Consider the following 22187-nt stretch of genomic DNA (forward strand, 5'->3'; position numbering starts at 1 on the left):
TCATAATAATAATAAAAAAAGTGTGCTTTCCTCTCCTGGGGATTAACATATCTGAAATCTTGCAATTAGAAATTAGTTCCTTTGAGTGAACTACCAATACATGCAACACTGTTTTAGTCCATTTTCTGTTGCTATAACAGAATACCACAGACTTGGTAATTTAAAATGAACAGAAATATATTTGACTCATGGTTCTGGAGGCTGGGAAGTCCAAGGGCATGGCACTTGGAAGGGAGAGCAAGCAAGAGAGCAAGAGGGGGCCAGAGTCCCCTTTACAAAAAGCCCACTCTTGAAATAACATTAATTCATTCATGAGGACAGAGCTGTCATGACCTAGTCACCTCTTATCAGACCCCAACACCCAGCTCTGATGCACTGGGGGTTAAGTTTCCAACACATGAACTCTGGCGGACACATTCAAACCATAGCAAACAGTATGGTTGAATCTCAAACATATCAGGATGCCTGCCCCCAACTCTGACATGCACAAAAAAGCCAGCCACAAAAAGGAGACATACTGTATGATCCAGTCATAACTCTAGAAAACTCTAGAAAAGTCTAAACTAAACAGCAGGGACTGAAAGCAGATCACTGGTGGCCTGAGGCTGGAGGTGGGTGAGGTGGCCTGGGAAGGAGCATGAGGAAGCTTTCTGTAGTGATGGAAATGGCCTATTCCTTGATTGTGGTGGTGTTTATATTAGCATATGTGTTTGTCCCAAACTCATGAAACTGAACACTTAAAATGGGTGACTTTATTTTAGGTAAATTACTCCATAATAAAGTTGATTTTAAAAATTAGTCCCTTGGGTGCCCCTTTTCTATCCTCTTTCAAAATGAAAAGTTTGGTCCAGGCTTGATGGCTCATGCCTGTATGTAATCCCAGCACTTTGGGAGGCTGAGATGGGAGGATAGCTTGATCCCAGGAGGTGAAGACTGCAGTGAACTATGATGATGCCATTGCACTCCAGCCTGGGCAACGTAGCAAGATCCTATCTCTAAATAAATAAATGAAATAGGCTGGGTGCGGTGGCTCACGCCTGTAATCCCAGCACTTTGGGAGGCCGAGATGGGCGGATCACGAGGTCAGGAGATCAAGACCATCCTGGCTAACACGGTGAAACCCCATTTCTACTAAAAATACAAAACATTAGCCAGGCATGTTGGCGGGCACCTGTAGACCCAGCTACTCCAGAGGCTGAGGCAGGAGAATTGCGTGAACCCGGGAGGCGGAGCTTGCAGTGAGCCAAGATCGCGTCACTGCACTCCAGCCTGGGTGACAGAGCCAGACTCTGTCTCAAAAAAAAAAAAAAAAAAAAAAAGAAATAAAATAAAATGAAAAGTTTGGGGAAGAGTAATGCGGGGTAATATGTGGTTTAGAGTATAGTAGCTGGAGCAACACTGCCTGGGTTTGAATCGCAGCTCCACCACTTACTAACCATAACTGAGCAAGTTATTTAACTTCACTGGGCCTCAGTTTTCTCACCTGTAAAATAGGGAGGGACCTCATAGGATTCTTGTAAGGCTGAAATGAATGTATGCGTGTGAAGTGCTCAGAGCCCAATGCCTGGCAGACAGCAAGTGCCACTCAGTTTGAAACTAATTTACATGGACGTGACTTGTTAGCTTCAAATTGACAGCTTTTTTCTAGTTATGATTCTTTAAAAATTTTAAGAGCAGTTTTAGATTTACAGAAAAAAATAAACAGAAAATGTAGAGAGCTCCCATATGCCCCTCATACACAGTGAGTTTCCTCTACTATTTTCATCTTGCATTTCGGTGGCACATTTATCACAATTGATGAGCCAGTATGGACACATTATTATTAACTGAAGTCCGCAGTTTACATTAGGGCTTATTCTTTGTGTTGTACATTCAATGGGTTTTCACAAATGTATCCATCATTGCAGCATCATGCAGAATGGTTTCATTGCCCTAAAAATTCCCTGTGTTCCACCTTTTTACCCCTCCCTTCCCCATAATCCCTGGCAACCACGGATCTTTTCACCGTCTCCATAGTTTTGCCGACTCCAGAGTGTCCCATAGTTGGAGTCATACAGTATGTAGACTCTCCAAGAGGGGTCTCTTTCACTTAATTATGTACATAATTATTTATTTATGTTTAGAGACAGGGTCTCACTATATTGCCCAGTGATGCTCCCACCTCAGCCTTCTGAAGTGCTTCGATTACAGGCGTGAGCCACTGCAACCGGTCTCACTTAGCGATAGACATTTAAGATTCCACGCCTGCTCATGGCCTGATAGCTCATTTTTCTTTTTCTTTTCTTTTTTCTTTCTTTTTTTTTTTTTTAGACAGAGTCTCAAGAGCAGTGGCACGATCTTGGCTCACTGCAACCTCTGCCTCCTGGGTTCAAGTGATTCTCCTGCCTCAGCCTCCCGAGTAGCTGGGATAACAGGCGCTCACCACCATGCCCAGCGAATTTTTGTATTTTTAGTAGAAACGGGGTTTCACCATGTTGGCCAGACTGGTCTTGAACTCCTGACCTCAAATGATCCATTCACCTCGGATTACAGGCATAAGCCACCGTGCCCGGCTGAGAGCTCATTTTTCAAATTGCTGAATAATATTCCACTGTTGGGATGTACCACAGTTTATTTACCCATTCATCTATTAAAAGACATCTTGGTTGTTTCTGAGTTTGAGCTATTATGAATGAAGCTATTGTAAACATTCATGTATAAGTTTTTGTGTGGACTTAAGCTTTCAACTCCTGTGGGCAAATATCAAGGAGTACAAACACCAGTTGCTGGATCTTATTGTAAAAATACGTCTGGTTTTGTAAGAAACTGCCAAACTGGCCGGGCGTGGTGGCTCACGCCTGTAATTCCAGCACTTCGGGAGGCTGAGTCAGGCGGATCACAAGGTCAGGAGATCGAGGCCATCCTGGCTAACATGGTGAAACCCTGTCTCTACTAAAAATACAAAAAATTAGCCGGGCGTGGTGGCGGGCGCCTGTAGTCCCAGCTACTCAGGAGGCTGAGGCAGGAGAATGGCGTGAACCTGGGAGGCAGAGCTTGCAGTGAGCCAAGATTGCGCCACTACACTCCAGCCTGGGCGACAGAGTGAGACTCCGTCTCGAAAAAAAAAAAAAAAGAAGAAGAAAAAAAAGAAACTGCCAAATTGTCTTCAGAAGTGCCTGTACCATTTTGCATTCCAACTAGCAGCGAATGAAAGTTGCTGTTACTCTACATCTTTGTCAGCATTTGGTGTTGTCAGTGTTCTGGATTTTAGCCATCTATTAGAATTAGCCATTCCAACAGATGCCCAGTGGTGTCTCATTATTGTTTTAATTTGCAATTCTAATAACATATGATGTGGAGGATCTTTTCATGTCTGTGTTTGCCATCTGTACATCTTTGGTGAGGTATCTGCTCAGATCTTTTGCCCCCCACTTTTTTTTTGAGGCAGAGTCTTGCTCTGTCACCCAGGCTGGAGTGCAGTGGTGTGAGCTTGGCTCACTGCAACCTCTGCCTCCCGGGTTCAAGCGATTCTCCTGCCTTGGCCTCCTGAGTAGCTGGGATTACAGGTGCCTACCACCACACCCGGCTATTTTTTGTATTTTTGTTCATTTCTAAAAATTGGGTGTTGACTTTTAAAAGTTCTTTGTATCTTTTGGACAGAAGTCTTTTATCAGATAATGTGTTTTGCAAAATTTTCTCCAAGTTCGTGGCTTGTCTTTTCATTCTCCAAATTGTTTTCCACCAAGCATCTAGAATGCCATCATACCTCCCTGTCTACGAGTGTGTGTGTGTGTGTGTGTGTGTGTGTGTGTGTGTTTGTGTTTGTGTTTTGTGGGGTGGGAGTAGGAGAAAGAAGGACAACATTCGGAAGGAAGGGAGGGTACTAGGAATGAATAACACTTGATGTAGTCTTCAAGGGGCTTCTTATATTCTGATTTGAGAGAGACGATCTCATATTCAATAACAAGAAAAAGCAATGTGAGATTCATTGCAAATGCCTGGCACCCTGCAGCAAGCAGAGATCTGAGGGATTGGAGATGGTGGTAGGGGCTGCATGGAGTCTGGAGGGGGCGCCCATGTGCAGGAGGAGGAAATTGAGGTGAGAGGAGGAATGACCTGGAAAGAAGAGCAAAGCATTCCAGACTGGAGTAGGTGCTGGGTGGCATGAGAGAGTCACAGACCAGGGAGGCCAGCTTAATCCTTCCTCCTGCAGGAGCCCCAGGACATCTGGGAATGGGGCAGGTAGGGAGGGGCTACAGCGGATGGACCCTGGCAATTTGAACTATGCTCGGAACATGGGGTGACAGATTCTGAAGACAAGCTGGGCCAATATTCTCATTTTGCTGCTTCTCCTAACTTCCCTTTTGCCCCCTCCACATGGAAAGTCTCCTGCTGAGAGAAAAGGGAGACTTTCACCTAGCACAGTCATGCAGAGGGGAAAAAAAGCTGATTCAAATCTCATTCCCAGACACCTGGCTTCTGCCAGCTCTGACCACCTTGTCTCAAAGATGCAGCTGAAAGAGGGAAGGGGGAGCACCAGACAAAAATGGGAGCTTTTCTGCAGAGAGATGGGCTGGCGCTTGGCAAGGCCCACGCTCCGGGCTGCAGCCCAGCACAGCCTCACTGGTCTCCCAGAAAGCATATGAGATGCCTGCTCAGGGCGCTCAGGGTTGGCTGAGGACACAGCCTGACTGCTCTGTTCCAGTCACTGGTATTTATGAGCCTCCTGTGAGCCCAGACCCAGGTCTGCACCACAGGGGAGGCGGGAAAGGTACAAATTCTGCTCTGCCCGCCAGCCCCCTGCACTCCAGGAGGTGCCCATGGTGGGCAGAGGATGAGATGTTCAGAGGAAGCCATGGTTCAGGAAAAAGAGCCCCCAGACCTCAATAGCGTTAGCAGCAAAATAGGACGAACACGTCTCTGGACTGAATTATGTCCCTTCAAAATTCGCATTAAAGCGGTAACTCCCAATGAGATGTTATTTGGACATGAGGTCTTGGGGAGGTAATTAGGGTTAGATGAGGTCATGAGGAAGGGCCCTCAGGATTTTATTTTATTAGTGGCTTTCTATGAAGAGGCAGAGAGAGAAATCACTCTTTCTGTTTGCCAGGAAAGGTCCAGTGAAAAGATGGGTCTATGAACCAGGAACCAAATTGGCCAGCATCTTGACCTTGAACTTCCCAGCCTCCAGAACCATGAGAAATGTCTGTTGTTTATGCCACCCAGTCTGGTGTTTTGTCATAGCAGCTGAGCTGACTGAGACAAACATATGAGTGGTGTTCCCTTCCCAGCCTTCCAGCCACAGCTGGCTGTGACCAACACTGGGACACTGGAGACTTTGCTTCTCTGTTCACCCCCTCCACAGTTTACCTTCCTGCTCTGGGCCAGCGGTTGTTCTAGAAGTATGGTTGGGGACCACTGGGAGTTACCAAGACCCTTTCAGGGGGTCCACTGGATCAAACTATTTTTAAAATAAAACTAAGACCTTATTTGCCCTTTTAATTTCATTTTTTTAGAGCTGGTGATATGTCAGGAGCAGCTGGAGCCACTTCCTCCAAACTGACCAAGACTTATCATTGGGGAGAGCTCCAGGGACATCAGGCAACTTGGATTCCAGTCTTAGATTTCCCCTCAGGAAATGGGGCATTGACTTAGATAACAAAGCCTCCTCCTCACTGTAAAAATGGCATTGTCCCATTTTCCCTGAATCTTGGTGTTCTTTTTCATAGATTGAGATATAATTTTATATCCCCTACATATCTCACAAAGCTGTTAAGGAAGCCAAATAAATTAAATGTGAATGTTCTCTAACAAGAGAACATTGTTCCGTCATTATTAGGTGTAATTATTAAGAGAGGCGCAATGCAAGGAGAATCAGGAAATGAATATCCCTGCCATCCCAAACCACTGACTTGAAGTGAATTCCTCTCCAGCCTGTGACTCACGCCTCACCAACATGGGCTAAAACCTGCCTGTGTGAGAGTGAGGGACCCTGGGATCTGCCCACCCACAGGTCTTAAGCCAGCCTCTGCTCTGGCAGGGTGTAAACACCCAGAGTAGACAAACACCAGAGGAAGAGCCCTGGATGTAGACACCCAGGGGAACTACTATCCACGGGAATAAATTGGTCCCATTACCCCATCCCTGTGGCCCCTCCAACAGTGGAGCTGCAATGAGAGGTGGAGGAAAACTTCACCTTTCTTGTCTCTTCCACTTTGTAGAGTTCACCCAGTATCTCTGTATTTCTGCTATAAAATGACTACTTTTGGCAGTGATTATGCTGCAAAGGTCACATTGTCTTTTCAGCAGGGCAGTTCAGGTTGGAACTAAACTGGGTTGCGCAGCCACTGGGTGGTGACATTGTTTCTCTGCAGGTGACCTCCAACTCCAATCATGGGATGCCCAGACCTGCCCAGACCTTGGCTGGGCTCTGAGGCAAACCTTCCAGACGGGATGACCGAGGCTGCAGTTGAGGCCTGAGTCAGGAAAGATGGAGCAGGAGATAAAGTCCTGGGCTGGAAAAGAATGAATGTCACAACTCTCTCCATTTTACAGACAGTGGCTCCGAAGGGCTTTCATCACACGCATCATCTTGGAGCCCCTCGACCTCTCTGTGAGGCAGGTATGACAGGAGTTCTTACTCACATTTTATAGGATTGGAAACTGAAGTCCAGAGAAGTGACATGGCTTGCTGAAGGCCACATTTGAAGTGACAGAGGCAGGGCTTGGCTGGGCCTTCTGACTCCAGGCCACAGCCAGGGCTTTCTGAGTGCAAGCTCCTTTCATCAGATGCTTACTACAAATGATCCAGGGCGCTGGGCCATGGGGACACGGAAATAAAGATTACGTGGGGTCCCTGTTCTTAAAGAACTCAGCAGGCCGGGCACGGTGGCTCACTCCTATAATCTCTGTGCTTTGAGAGGCCAAGGTGGGAGAACTGCTTGAGCCCAGGAGTTAGAGACCAGCCTGGGCAACATAATGAGACCCTGTCTTTACAAAAAATGAAGAACTTAGCTGGGTGTGGTGGCATGCACCTGTAGTCCCAGCCACTTGAGAGACCTAGGCGGGAGAATTGATTGAGCCGGGAGTTTGAGGCTGCAGTGAGCTATGATTGCATCACTGCACTCCAGCCTGGGTGACAGAGCAAGACTCTGCCTCTAAAGAAAAAAAAGGAAAGCTCATAGTCTTGGAGGTGGGACAGAGGGCAGGGTGACAAGTATATAAACAGACACTTCCAATGACAAATTCGATAAAAAGATGCCATGCGAGCAGAGAGAAGGACCTGAACTCAGTCAAGCAAGACTTCCAGTTGGGGGTTGACGTGTGTTCCCCCAAAAGTTATGTTGAAGTCCTAACTCTGGGAGCTCTGAATGTGACGTTGTTTGAAACTGAGTCTTTGCAAACGCAGTAAATTTAAGATGAAGTCATCAGGGCAGGTCCCTATCCAATATGACAGGTGTCCTTATAAGAAGAGGAAAATGCCACGTGAAGACCGAGGCAGAGATAAAAGTGACACAGCTGCAGGCCAAGGACCATTGAGGATCGCTGGTCACCGCCAGAAACCAGGAAGGGGCAAGGAAGGATTCTGCAAGGTCTCAGAGGGAGCGTCGCCCTGCGGACTCCTCAACTTGACTTCCAGCCTGCACAACTGTGTCTGTGCTTTTCCACATTGTAGGCCCTGCCTTCGTGCTGTTAATTCTGCCCACCGCGTTTTCCTGTACGGTCCCCTCTGAAAGCTCCACAGCCTTTCCTATTGAGCTCAAGTGTCCCCTGCTCTTGGTAAGTATATTCGCCTCCTAGGGCCCTCATGACAAAGCACCACAAACTGGGTGGCCTCAATAGCAGACACTTATGCTCTCACAGTTGTGCCCCTAACACAGGAGAAGCTAGATACCTCTGGTGTTTCAGCTTAACGCTTACAGCTAATTGCAGTCATTCAGGTTTTACAGCTCACAGCCTCAGATCCTATTAACTTTGTCTGTGATTCAGCTTATGTTGTAAATGTAGCCAGTCGCATAGAAACTGCCACAATTAAAAGTACACTAGACCCAGAACTGCTTAATTAGTTAATTAATTAATTTATTTTTGAGATGGAGTTTTGCTCTGTTGCCTAGGATATAGTGCAGTGGCACAATCTCAGCTCACTGCAAGCTCCGCCTCCCGGGTTCACGCAATTCTTCTGCCTCAACCTCCCGAGTAGCTGGGACTACAGGCGCCCGCCACCACGCCCGGCTAATTTTTTGTATTTTTAGTACAGAAGGGGTTTCACCATGTTAGCCAGGATGGTCTCGATCTCCTGACCTCATGATCCACCTGCCTCGGCCTCCCAAAGTGCTGGGATTACAGGTGTGAGCCACCATGCCCAGCCGCTTAATTTATTTTTAAGACTTCAACAAGTTATTCGTTCTCATGCAGCTCCTTTTCATATTTCTCATATTTGCTCTCACACACAACTTCCTGGACCCCTATCTCTAGGTAATGAGAAAGCAGACAAACTGATTGGTTCTGTGTTTCGGCAAGCTCAAGCATCTCATGCACTTCTGCACCAAAATACTTCCACCCTTACTCGCATGTTCCATTTATCTCATAGCCAAGCTAGGGCTATAATACAAGCCTGTCCTACTTGCCAGCATGTCCCTGGAACTATACCTGTAGAAGGCTGTAACCCACGAAGTTTGGCTCCAAATGAAATTTGGCAAATGGATGTTGCACACATAGCAACCTTTGGTAAGCTTAGCTACGTTCATGTGACTATAGACACTTATTCTCATATGCTGCATGCTACATGCCAAACAGGTGAGACAGCTGGTCATGTATGGCCACATTGTCTGTCATCATTTGCTCACATGGGGATACCTAAACAATTAAAAACTGACAATGGACCCACTTATACTAGTCATGCTTTTCAAAATTTCTTACAGCTTTGGGCTATAACCCATAAAACAGGAATTCCTTATAATCCTAGAGGACAAGGCATTATAGAGCAGGCACATCAAACATTACAACGCATATTGAAAAAACAAAAAGGGGGTATAGGAGACCAACTACCACCTCAATCAAAACTACATTTAGCCTTACTTTAAATTTTCTGACTCCTGGTATGGAAGGTAAAGACTCCAGCAGAAAGACATTGGCAAGTGTTAGAGGAAAAGAGGAAAGTTTATCCGAAAGTGTTACGGAAATCCCCGGAAGAAGGCCAATGGAAAGGTCCAGTGGATTTACTAATGTGGGGAAGAGGGTATACTTGTGTTTTTGCAGGAGATGGATGAACTGTGTGGGTGCCCTCAAGGTGCGTGCGACCATGGAATGGGAGACTGGAGGAACCCAGGGTGGCCAACCATGGACCCGGTCCCGGTATGAGCCATGAGTCAGCTGAGCCTGAATGCAAAGACGGAGAGAAGGCCGACCGGAGTCACAACACAGTTCTAAGGTTACATTTGTAAAGAATATCATCACTCAATTTACAGTTTGTGTTTTTAATCCTTATGTCTTTTTGGCAGCTAAGAAGGACCAGCTCCAGGTAAACAATACCCAATTGACCTGTAAATCTTGCCAGTTATATCACTGCACTAATCATAGCACATTGCAAACACATAATATCTCTACTGTGATGATTTTAGGTGGTATCCCTGGGCTAGGGATTCCTGTTAATCTGTCTGAGCCTTGGGCTGCCACACCTGCTTTGCATTTTGTGAAACTTCTAACTCAGCTGACTCATCGTGCCCGTAGAGCCTTAGGCATGATAATTTTTGCTACTGTTTACTTGGTCATGCTAGTAACTTCTGTTGTGATATCTTCTGTAGCTTTGCATAATTCTATTCAAATAGCTCAGTACGTGGAGAACTGGACGCGCACAGCTGACCAAGCGTGGCGACTTCAGAATAAAATTAACACTGAGCTACAAACTGAAGTGGCAATGCTGAAATCCACGGTTCTGTGGTTAGGGGCACAAGTACAAAGCTTGCAGTTGCAGCAGTAATTGCGCTGTCATTTTAATCACACTCATATTTGTGTAACCAACTTAGAATACAACCAAAGTGAGTATCCGTGGGACCTTGTGAAAGCCCATTTGCAGGGAGCGTTCACATCCAACATCACCTTTGATATTGGTGAATTACAAAACAAAATTCTTGATTTAAATAGGCAAACTCAAGAATTTCAGCCTTCTTTAGAAGACGGGACCAAATTCCAGCAAGGCCTGGAGAGCCTCAACCCTTGGACCTATCTAAGGCACCACATTAACATCTTATATGTAGTTCTTGGAATAATGTTGTTTCGTCTCTGTCTTCTGTTTATAGTCTGTAAAATCGGATGGACTGCCAATCGGAGAATGAGAGCTGCCCAGCCTGGCCTTACATTTTTTCAATTAATTCATAAACAGAAAGGGGGATATGCAGGGAGCCGAAGGCCCATGGGATGTGACCAACGCAGCATTCCACTGGAGGCTATATGATCCAACAGCAAACTGTTTATCATGAATGCAGGATGTGAGAAAACTGACGACTGCTCCTGCCGACAGAAGGTTTGCTGGAGGCAATCACTCCCTGGCGCTGAGGTTATCTACTGCAACATTTAGCCTGTTGTTCGAGGAATGCAGTCTTGCAAGCCTGCTCTAGACTGAGCAGCTGACCCCTTCTTCCACCCCGCTTCTCACTATCTCTTTTGCCTAATAAATAAGGAGGGCTGTATAAAGCTCAGGGCCCTTGTCCACTAGGGGCAAGGTACCCCCTGACCCCTTCTTCAAAATATACTCTTTTGTCTCTTGTCTTTTATTCCCGTGTTTGCCCCGCTTTGTTCAGTCCCCCTAGGTCCGTGCAGGTTACAGTGGAATCCGTATTCACGTGCATATTCTGGCTCATTTCATACTACAGAAGCAGTGAGGTGAGTTTTGGACAGAAGTCATGTGGCCTGCAAAGTTAAAATGTTTATTATCTGGCCCTTTAGAGAAAAAAATTGCTGCCTGGTCTGAAGCGGCATTTTTCAAATGTGAGCATGCATTATGAGTGACCTGGAAGGCTGGCAAAATGAAGAATTTGATTCAAGAGGTCTGAGACCAAGCCTGAGATCCAGCACTTCCGTCAGGCTTCAGTGATGTTGATGCTGCTGATTCAAGGACCACACTTTGAGAAGCAAGTACCGAGAGCAGCTCCGTCTGACGGAAATATACTGTGAGCCACACAGGCAATTTAGAGTTGTCTAGTGTACACATTAAAAAGGTAGAAGGAAACAGGTGATGTTAATCCAATAATATTTTATTTAACTCAATATACCTAAAATATTGTCATGTCTCATGTACCCAATGTAAAGAAACTGAGATATTTCATATTTTTTTTACATGAAGTCTTTGAAATCTGGTGTGTCTATATCTATATATAGACAGACAGATATAGATATATATTTTTTTGAGACAGAGTCTCACTCTGTTGCCAGGCTGCAGTGCAGTGGGGAGATCTCAGCTTACTGCAACCTCTGCCTCCCGGGTTCAAGCGATTCTCCTGCCTCAGCCTCCCGAGTAGCTGGGACTACAGGCGCCCACCACCATGCCTGGCTAATTTTTGTATTTTTAGTACAGACGGGGTTTCACCATATTTGCCAGGATGGTCTCAATCTCCTGACCTCGTGATCCGCCCGCCTTGGCCTCCCAAAGTGCTGGGATTACAGGCATGAGCCACTGTGCCCGGCCTGAAATCTGGTGTATATTTTATACTTACAGCTCATCTCAGTTTAGATTGGCCTGTTTCATGTGGCTAGTGGCCGTCATACTGGACAGTGCAGCTCTAGAGTACAGAATGGAGCCAGGCTGCCTGCGTTCAAATCCCAGCCCCACCACTGGCTAGTTCGGTACCTTGGGCAAGTTGTGTGCCTTTTCCACATCTGTTTCTCCACCTGTAAAGTGACGGTAATCAAAGCACCTCCTCATGGTGTCATTTTGGGGACTGACATGGTTAGGCTTTGTGTCCCCACCCAAATCTCATCTTGAATTATAATCCCCACAATCCCCACATGTCAAGGGGGAGACCAGGTGGGGGTAATTGAATCATGAGAGTGGTTTCCCCTGTGCTGTTCTCGTGATAGTGTTCTCAGGAGATCTGATGGTTTTATAAGTGTTTGGTAGTTCCTTCTGCATTAATTCTCTCTCCTGCCACCTGCCAAGGTGTCTTGGTTCCCCCTCTTCACCTTCCGCCGTGATTGTAAGTTTCCTGACGCCTCCCCAGCCATGCTGATCTGTGAGTCAATTAAACCTCTTTCCTTTATCAATTACCCCGTCTTGGGAAGTTCTTTATAGCAGTGTGAAAACGAACTAATACAGGGATTATGTAAGCTAACAAAGAGCTAGAACAGTGCCTGGCGTGTAATAAGCTATCTTTCTGTTATGATGACGGTTCTGCACAAGAAGCACCTTCTTTCCCTCTAATAAAGCAAGGAGGTGGTGCCATCTTTCCTGCCCCCATCCCTGGGGCCAGACTGTGGAGTTTAGCATGCTCTCTCAGTTCTCAGCCTGGTCATTCCCCCTCGCTTTAAGGATCCTGCCTTGTTCATTCATTCCACAGATATTTATTGAATGTCTACCGCCTATCAGATCCTGTGCCTGGGGATACAACATGAAAACACACAGACAAAAGCCCCCTGCCCCCTGGCTCATGTTCTAGTAGGGTAATAGGGAGAGTCGTACATAGAACGTAATGAAAACAGAGTGTACTAGATCTAAGGTCATAAGCATCATGGGGGAAAGTGAAGCAGGGTGAGGGGGATGGAAAGTCCTGAGAGGGCCCTGAGGCCAGGGTGGCTGGAGCGGAGTCTCGGAGAAATGAGGACTGCGGTCAGAGAGGTGTGGAGTGGGAGGCCACGGTGCAGGGCTGTCTAGGCCATTATAAAGACTTCAGTTCTTCCTGAGTCAAATACAGAGCCGAGTGGAGAGCTTTTGCCTAACAACTTCAAGGTCTGAATCACAGCTTATCAGGCTGCCGTGCTGAAAACAGCCTGGGTTGGGTTGGGGTGGGGTAACCAATCAACCTCCCTGGCCCTGAATTGAGGGGCTCACTGGGATGTGAGGTCACCCTAAAACAAGGAAATCAGTTTTATCTTTTCTCCTCCTTTCATAAATAATCTGTGTCCCCATAACGTCCATTTTAATGTATTTGAATCAAAATATGCACATCCTCATAGGACATACAGTGCCGTATGCCCTACATTAACATAATGGCATTATACAACAATTCTCATGTCTTGCTTTCAGTATTCAACACTATTTTTAAGAGCCACCCGCTTGCTGTTCATAGTTCTAGGTCTGTCTCTCATGGCTATACAGTATTCCATGGTACGCACCTGCCGCCTTTGACTTGTCCAAGACCTTGCTTGCCTCCATCAACACAGTCACTCAGAATCATTACCAAGGAATCCTTCCGTAAGTCCATTCATGGACCCAGGTAGAAATCTCTCCGGAGAGCCACGCGCAAGTGGCTCTCTGAATCAAAGGGCACACACGCTGCTAACTTTTAAGCTGCCAGCTTCCCTTCTGGGGTACGCATTGCAGTTTGCACCACCACCAGCAATATTGAAGTCCAGGCCCCGCATCACTGCCAGCACTTGAAGTCTGGCAATTCTGAGGGGCATAAGGTAGTGGGTCTTAATTTACATTTGCATTTCTTCAGCTTAGTTTATCTCTTGTTCACCATTTGGGTTTCCCCTGCTGTGAATCACCTATTAATATCCATGGCCGGTTTTTTCTTTTGGATTTCCTTTTTCTTGTTGTTTTGCATGAAACTTTGTACATTTTAATCCCTTTTCAATTTCAGTCACTGCAAATACCTTCTTAGTCTGCCATCTGTTAGCTTTGATGAACAGAAAGTCTTACTTTAGATGTAGTCAAATCCATCCTTTCCCCCTTACATTTGGTGCTTCTTGTGAGGTTTAAAAAGTGACTTTTAAGGACAACTTAGAATGAAAAACAATCTGAAGCTATGTTTAGAATAAAATAAATATGCAGGAATTATTTTCTGTAAGCAGGGCTTCAGAAAATATCAATCTCACTTTGCCTCTATTATTACTACCTAATTCTGGGATTTCTTTTTCCTTTCTGTCAAGGCTGAACAGGTTGCGAAAAAAGGAAACCACTTGAGGTAAACTTGGTTTTCCTAAGTTTTTCTAAATAAAGCTTTAAAATGCAACACTCCCTTAACAAACTCTGGTGGAGGGAAGTGAACAGAGAACTGAGACTCAGAGGCCTGGGTTCCATCCCGCCCTTCACGGCACATTGCATATGGTTTTAAAACCACACACAACTCTGCACATCTGGAAAGAACAGCAAAAATTGAGAATAAAATATATATATATTTTAGACAGAGTCTTGCTCTGTCGCCTAGACTGGAGTGCAGTAGCACAATCTTGGCTCACTGCAAACTCCGCCTCCTGGGTTCAAGTGATTCTCCTGCCTCAGCCTCCTGAGTAGCTGGGACTACAGGCGCCCGCCACCTTGCCCAGCTAATTTTTGTATTTTTAGTAGAGACAGGGTTTCACTATGTTGGCCAGGCTGGTCTCAAACTCCTGACCTCGTGATCCGCCTGCCTTGGCCTCTCAAAGTGCTGGGATTACAGGCGTAAGCCACTGCACCCGGCCTAGAATAGATTTTAAAAGATTTCTTTCATAAATTTTAGAAACCTAAAGAGGTGATTTGTGAAAGAAACCAGATTTTCATTAGTTTACAAATATTTACAAAATACTATGTACTACTCGGTGTCTTCTTTACTGGATTATAAATGTAGAAACATGGAAAGTAAACACAGGACCTGTCATGGTCCATGTTCAAGGACATTTGGGCCAGAAATAGATACACTGATGGAAAACAGGGCCACGGGAGGTGGGAGAGAATTTAAACGTGTAATTTGAACATTAAACAGCCAGGAACTTCCAGAAAATTCTCTTGTGCTGCCATGACCAGTATCAAAGAACTTTACAAGGCTGAGGAGAGCCCACCAAATGTTTTAAGTGTTTTGAGTCTAAAATCTGGGTATTAAAGCTTGGGCCAAGTGGGAGAAAAAGCAATCTTAGGAAAAGAAAGTGCTAAGTCTGGTCCCTGGAGTTTAAGGCTTGTGTAATGACAGGCAAGAATAAGGTGATTAGGCCCGGTGCGGTGACTCACGCCTGTAATCCTAGCACTTTGGGAGGCCGAGGCAGGTGGATCACGAGGTCAGGAGATCGAGACCATCCTGGCTAACACGGTGAAACCCCGTCTCTATTAAAAATACAAAAAATTAGCTGGGTGTGGTGGCAGGCGCCTGTAGTCCCAGCTACTAGGGAGGCTGAGGCAGGAGAATGGCGTGAACCCGGGAGGCGGAGCTTGCAGTGAGCCGAGATCGCGCCACTGCACTCCAGCCTGGGCGACAGAGTGAGACTCCGTCTCAAAAAAAAAAAAAAAAAAAAAAAAAGATGATTAATATTTTCAGAACTGTCCACTTCAAACTCTGATTCTCATGAAGGCAAAAAGGGTGAAAGGTAGTATTCACACTCCCAATTAGAAGCCTGAGAGAACAGCAAGAACAGCTGGCACAAGGATGTTGTAGAAATAACACAAGAGAAGACCCACACTGGGGATTCTAAAGCTGCTCCTTTGTGTTTCGATGGCGTTGCCACCGACAAACCTTTCCCCTTCCAGTCACACAGGGGCCACTGGAATCCCAATCCCTTGACAAAACACCAGATGCCTGAGATGTTTATTTGATGACTGGTTGAACGGGAGGAAAAAAACTCCTTTTCTCTCGTCTTTGGAGTTCACCTACTTAAACAAGAAGTCTGTCTTTTGTGCCTGTCACCATCGTGTTCTGTGAGGAGGTTTCAGTCCTTTACTCAAGGCAGAAATCCTTCTTAAGCCTTGATTTTCTTGTTTGGGCCTCTTACATGAAACAGACACAGGCTGTTGACAGAAATGTTGAAGTGGCCATGAAGTCTGGAGCCCGGATGTCGTTCACCTGCCAAACAGTGTCAAGGGTGAAAGGCAAAGATCGAAGGCCAAAGTGCCCCTAGCGTCCCCTGCAGCAGGTCTCAGTCAACCTTAATAGATCTATTAATAGAAAGAGGCTGGACTGCGCAAGGGCAGGGGGACTAGCCTGGCTAAAAGCAAAATAAAACACATCAACAGACACACTCTTCTTTTGTTAGGAGGAGGTGGGATCACAGGCCCACATGCTCCCAGACGAGGTGGGGCCAGGAAGACTCTCACAGGATTGCCTTTCATGCTGCCACGGATGGATGCTCCAGGCAGATCCACTCTGCCAAGGCGTGCTTTGGGATTAGCCGGGCACTCCTTTGTCTTTTCATGACGTTTCCAAAAGAAGACACTGTGACTCTGACAGAGGTGACCTGCACCTCACGACCCCCTCTGTGCAAACCATTAGCATTTCCGGATCTCAAAAAAACCAAAAAAACCCACAGGGCACATGCCAATTCATAGGACAAATGGAAACAGACTGAAAACAAAAACACAGAACCATGGCTTTTCAGACCTGTCAACATGGTTAGTGTTGGAAATAGGCACTGACTTCTCTTCCACCAAGTGGAATAAAAATTTAGATGTCTTTTAACATCTTAGATATTTTAACGTATTTAAAGTCAGGCAAAAAGCCCTATAGTCATTGCACTGCCTCAAAAATTATTTACGACAGTTCTATCTTAATGCTGTGTCCTGTTTTCCTAGCGATCAATGGCTTGAGGACCTCCCTTGAGCTCACTTTGCTGGCTCTGTTCTCTCATTTTGTTTTTGCGCTTCCCTCTCCTCTCCGGCATGTCTCAGGCCTTTATTTTTGTTGGTCCTAACAGCTGGTCCCCTTCCCTTCCCATCTGTCTCTATCATCTATTTTCAGGTTATGGCTCAGGCCCACCTTCCTGCTCCAGGAGAACATCTATGTATTCTCCAACGGCTGAGAAACATGCTGAGCGTCTAATGTCATCCTCCATATTGGTAACACGTAACATTAATAATGACAGTCATAATTTTCTGGAAGTAAGCCAAAGGTTCTAAGCTTAGATCGAACTGCAAAACAGTGTAACATAAAGTCAGCATTTGCTGTTACTATTAAATACATAAAAATTGGTTAATTTTATTACTTTTCCTTGTCTATATACAAGTAGGTACTTAAAATGGTGACCTTATAAACAGTCATCTCAGAGTGGCAATTATTGTTGGTGAATGGCTTAACGTCGTGGGTTGGTCACTACTTGTGAAATATCTGCTTTCTGAGCTGCAGAGAGTGTGGACGCCCTCTCCACAACCCCACACAATTGTGCTTCACTGTATGCACACCCAACACAACACATGCAAAGAGTGTGCGTCAGACTCAGACAATGTATTTCACTGAATTTGGACTCAAGTTCAACTCATCATTCTAATGAGTAAGAAGATTCAAAGATGACAAGGAAGCAAGCCCACACAGTCTACGGGCCATGGGATGATGAACTTTCGTTTTATTGATTTTTCAGTACCCAAGTGTGGCACTGTAAGGCTGCCACATACAGCAAGTGACATGACACCAAAAGGACCTTCCGAGAGTATTATTCTTACTTTGGATGGAAGACATCGCTTAAACAAAAAACATTTAAAGATGCTCCCTTGCTTTTTATAATTCCTAACTGTAAAATATAATTTTAGTACAGAACAAACAAATTCTCCTTGGTTGGTCACATCATTCATTATTGAAAGGGAAACTTAGTATCAAAAGAAACAAAACACTGAAATAAATAACTAAGTAATTTACTGAAAGGTAGTTTTGTTGCATTGCACACAACTGACCGCAGAGAATTCTAAAGCTGATTTTTTTCTTAAAGGATGAAAAACTCATTTGCCATTTTTAGTTTCTTGCTAAGTGATACATGCTCCTTATAAGGAAAACTACTCTGTGTAGGCCTGAGTTTAAAATGTAAATATCTGTTTATCCAGAGTTTGTTAATCTAGAGTACACAGATGTGGAAAACTGGTGGTGAAAAGAGGGACCTACCCAGCCTTCAGGGTGGCTGGGCAGGGGCCCCATGTTACTGGCCTCAGCCACCAGCAGCGTCTTCACTCCGCCCAGGTCAGAAAGCACTGCCTAAAGCCGGAGCTTAGGATGAACATGGGCAAAAAGCACTGGTACAGTTCCATGTGTTTCTCTTCTACTGTAATGTCCCCAGAGGGATTGTGAAATGTCTGAGAACATCCCCTGGAGGAGGTTTAAAAGTGAGAAGCCCATGATATGGCTATGGAACATAAGCACTTATTGCTGGCATGTTTCTACCAAGATTGAACACAATGCTTTTCTTTGATAAAGCTTTGGGCAAGTTCCTAGTCCAATTTCTTCTGCTACAAGTACACAGAATTTACTGCCTTCTTGGTCAGCTCTTGGTATGAATTCTTCTCTTGAATTAAGATCCTCCCTGGCTTGTCTCTCACCCACCCTGTATCTCTTAGAGAAAGCACCTGGCTGTCTTCACCTACGCGAGACCTTCTCTGGAATGTGATTTGCTGCGACTGCAGACATCTCCATACGGCATAATGAACTCCCTTGAGTGGTCTCTTTTTAAACAATTTTGGGTGAGGGGCAGGTTTCTTGGTTTGTTTCAAAACTCATCTTGAAAATAATCTAGACGGAAAAATCCGAAGTGAAATTCTGGTGCAACAAATATTTTAAGATTGAAGTTTGGTTACTTCTCTTGTCCATCTTTTCGTGCCCACAAATGGAAACTACATTCCTGATTTAAGAGGATGCTTCTGTCTGTATCCTTTTTTGAACTGCATTGTTCTCACAAGGACCAGCAAACTTTTTCTGTAAATATTTTAGTAAATATTCTAGGCTTTACAGGCCACATATAGTGTCTGCTGCATATTCTTCAACGTTTTTTCTTAGGCAACTGTTTAAAAATGGCAAATCCACTACTACCTCTCAGCTGGAGCAATGAGGTTTTCTCAGCCCTTGTTTCAGGATCCTCAGGTATGTGACTAACTCTTCTATGCCCAGAGCTGGAAGGCGGGGTCCCCTAACTCCCTGGGTGCCCACCTGCCCACTTCAACCATTTGTGGCCCCTTCCTTTCCTTTCTTCCCTCTCTGCTGCTGACACCAGTGGCTCCATCGCCAGCTCCCTGCAGCCTCCACCAATAATCCATGGCTCCTCCAGGAAGTGTCGCAGGCAGGTGGCCAAGACCAACTTATTAGGTAGCCAGAAGCTCACCCCTTTCTTAACAACTTTGACCACGAAGCGCAAATACGATGCAGGTAAATCCAGAGGCAGAGCCTGGGTCCCCAGGCTGCTGGTAACACGCTTTGAAATCCAGGTGAGGGAGCCATGCCCCCACAGCTCTTGCCTCAAGGATCAGATGCATTTTACCTTCCAGAGACGCAGGTTAAGCTGCACCTGAGGCAGTTTGAGCCACAACTGGGACAGAATTCCCTTGGTCTTCTCTTCTGATCCCTCAGCAGAACTGCCCCTAATGCTCAGTTCATGGCAATACAGGCCTTTTCTCTCCTGTTTCTCCAAACTCTCCCAGCCTCTGCCCAGTACCTAGTTCCAAAGCCACTTTTATAATATCCTCAGTTATCTGTTATAGCAACAACCCCACTTCTGGGTACTAATCTGCTACCAACTACAGGAATTTAACTGTTCTGGAGTTAGGGAACAGCACACACAGACACTCGCACAAAACAAACTCCACCTAAAAAAACTGTACGAGAATTCCCCAAACTTCTCAACTAAATAAATAGGTGAAAAAACACCAATCTCACATATGCCAATCCAATTGTCCTTTTTAGATTTTGGCTTAAATTGTCGAATTTTTTCCTTCAAAATGTGAATTTATTTCCTGTATTGGATGCAGACTCTTCCCTTCTGGATTTACAGTGGTGCTGCCAGCAACAGCCTCAGTCAATGCGGTTAGGAAGAGGACTCGGCAGGCTGTGCATGGGGTCTCCCAGTACGATTAAAAGCTGAGATGACTTTTAATTAAGGGGGGTGGGGGAAACACCAATTGGAAGCTGGAAGAAACTGAGGCACGATTAAGCAGAAACACTGAGGAATACTGAGCAAGAAGTGGGCATGTGCTCTAGTTCCAATAAAACCGAAACTGGTGAAACTAGGAATTTCCAATTCTTTCAAAACCACAGTGTTCTAATGCCACTGAAATATGGAATAAGGAGCGTAATTACCTGCGGTCAGGAAAAGATAACAGTAACGAGGATTTTTCTAAATAAAATGTACCAGTAAATTCTGAAGTGTGTGTTTTTAAAGAACCAGCATTGCCTCCCCTCACGCTGGTTTCTTGGGATTTTTCACACACTCGCACAAAGCTGTAGTCGATAGTTCACTATCACTTTTATAAATGGTTATCTCCTGGTGCCCATGTTTCTCTGTTTTGGATATAAATGGTTTAAAAAATTTAAATTTGCAAAGAAAACATATACAGTAACAGACCTGAACAATAAATAAAAAAAAAAATCACCCTCTTCAGGTTAGAGCTTTCAAGATAGAGAAAAAAGAGGATTATCATTTCAGGCAGTAAGTTTTTTGGTTCTATGAAAGCATCACTATTCAGTCCCCTCTCCACTGACAGAATGCATCTTTCCACCTCCCTCCAGTATCAAAGTGCATGTGTTTAAATTTAACATTCCTTAGAGAAACCCCAGAAATCTCATTTATTTTTGGCAGATATCCTGTGCAGCAAAAATCAAGTGAATTTCCCTCTTCCCCACTCCTCAATTTAATGCTGTACTCAAAATGGCTAAACGCAATACTTCTAGACAGCAGGGCTTATAAACAATGCATTTTTTTTTTTTGAGACGGAGTCTCACTCTGTCGCCCAGGCTGGAGTGCAGTGGTGTGATCTCGGCTCACTGCAAGCTCTGCCTCCCAGGTTCATGCCATTCTCCTGCCTCAGCCTCCTGAGTAGCTGGGACTACGGGCGCCCGCCACCACACCCAGCTAATTTTTTGTATTTTTAGTAGAGACGGGGTTTCACCGTGTTAGCCAGGATGGTCTCGATCTCCTGACCTCATGATCCGCCCGCCTCGGCCTCCCAAAGTGCTGGGATTACAGGCGTGAGCCACCGCGCTCGGCCTGCATTTTGTTTTTGTTTGGAGGAACAAAAAAGGGAAAGAAAAAACAAAACCACAGGAAAATAAAGAGGAGAAACCCTGAGGCAAAAATGGCTTTTCCTTTTGAGTCTTCGTGGAGCTGTGAGCTGGATCACAAGGTCCCCGGGGCATTCTGGGCGGGAAGGCCCTCCTCCATCCAGAGGGCGGCGGCCGAGCTGCTCCGGGGAGTGCGCCTGTGGATGCGCCGCAGCCGCAGCAGGTACAGCAGGATGGCCAGCAGCACCACCAGGAAGCAGCCAGAGAACAGGTAGTGGTTGTAGACAAAGGAAACGCCCCGCCAGTGGGTGTGACTGGCTCGGAAGGCCTCCTGCTGGATGTCTCTGCCCATGTGAACACCAAACAACAAACAGGACAGTAAGCAAGGAAAGGGGTGGAAAGGGTGCACAGGGGGACGGCGGGACCCAGGCCCCAGAGCTGCACTTTAGGAACTGCAACCCTACCTCTGAAATGGAGAACGGAACAGCCCAATGCAGGGGGCTTCTAAGTATCAGTGAGATAACATGTGAAAGTATACTCTGAAGTCGGTCATTATAATTTGGGCAACCAAAATCAGAGGAATTTAGAAGAGCCGTGAAGGTTTCGCTGATACAAAGAAGTCAACATGTAAACAAACTGCATGCTTGTGATCAGTAACACCCATGACTCACCATTTTTACAGTTAACCCAGTTAAAAGGGTTGCTGAGAAATGCTCAATTAAATGGAGGGGGTGGGGGGAAGAGCAAATGTCTCATCTATCAGGTAACTCAGGTTCTTAGCACAGGTCAACTGACAGCAGATCTGCAAACGTGAATGGGGAAAAACGCACATCTTTGTTCTACCCAAGCGCTGACTGAGATGTAGCATTTCTTTGACCATGAATGCAGACAACAAACTATCATTAGCGTTGGCAGCACCTGCAACTTTGTTACTAACGAAAATCACAGATCTTTCATGTCCCATTATGGTATCATCAATGCCTCAAAATATCATTGACGCTCATTGACTACACTGAAATTACAGAAAGTGCTAATTCTGCTGCCAGATCCTGTTATTTAATGTGTTAATAGAGAAGAACACATATTACAGTATCACAAACTTGTTTTCTGTAATATTTTGGT

The 22187-nt window shown here is 45.4% G+C and overlaps 1 protein-coding gene across 2 annotated transcripts in view, besides 2 other annotated features; it reads right to left on the reverse strand.

The window, feature by feature from the left end:
• Positions 4124–4644: an enhancer, noted in NCBI's record as "H3K4me1 hESC enhancer chr8:23273382-23273902 (GRCh37/hg19 assembly coordinates)". NCBI's record gives its function as "activates a minimal SCP1, AML or CMV promoter by ChIP-STARR-seq in primed H9 embryonic stem cells {active_cell/tissue: H9 hESC(primed)}" and the evidence as "EXISTENCE:reporter gene assay evidence [ECO:0000049][PMID:30033119]".
• Positions 10477–10977: an enhancer, noted in NCBI's record as "H3K27ac hESC enhancer chr8:23279735-23280235 (GRCh37/hg19 assembly coordinates)". NCBI's record gives its function as "activates a minimal SCP1, AML or CMV promoter by ChIP-STARR-seq in naive H9 embryonic stem cells {active_cell/tissue: H9 hESC(naive)}" and the evidence as "EXISTENCE:reporter gene assay evidence [ECO:0000049][PMID:30033119]".
• Positions 17417–22187, reverse strand: part of ENTPD4 (ectonucleoside triphosphate diphosphohydrolase 4) — a 28486-nt gene continuing 23715 nt past the window's right edge. For both annotated transcript variants that reach the window (NM_001128930.3, NM_004901.5), the window contains exon 13: positions 17417–21409. In NM_001128930.3, the coding sequence (NP_001122402.1) occupies positions 21181–21409 (229 nt within the window). In that variant the 3' untranslated portion in view covers positions 17417–21180. The remainder of the gene's footprint in view (positions 21410–22187) is intronic.

Source organism: Homo sapiens, chromosome 8 (genome assembly GCF_000001405.40).
Source record: "Homo sapiens chromosome 8, GRCh38.p14 Primary Assembly".
NCBI classification, from domain to species: Eukaryota; Metazoa; Chordata; class Mammalia; order Primates; family Hominidae; genus Homo; species Homo sapiens.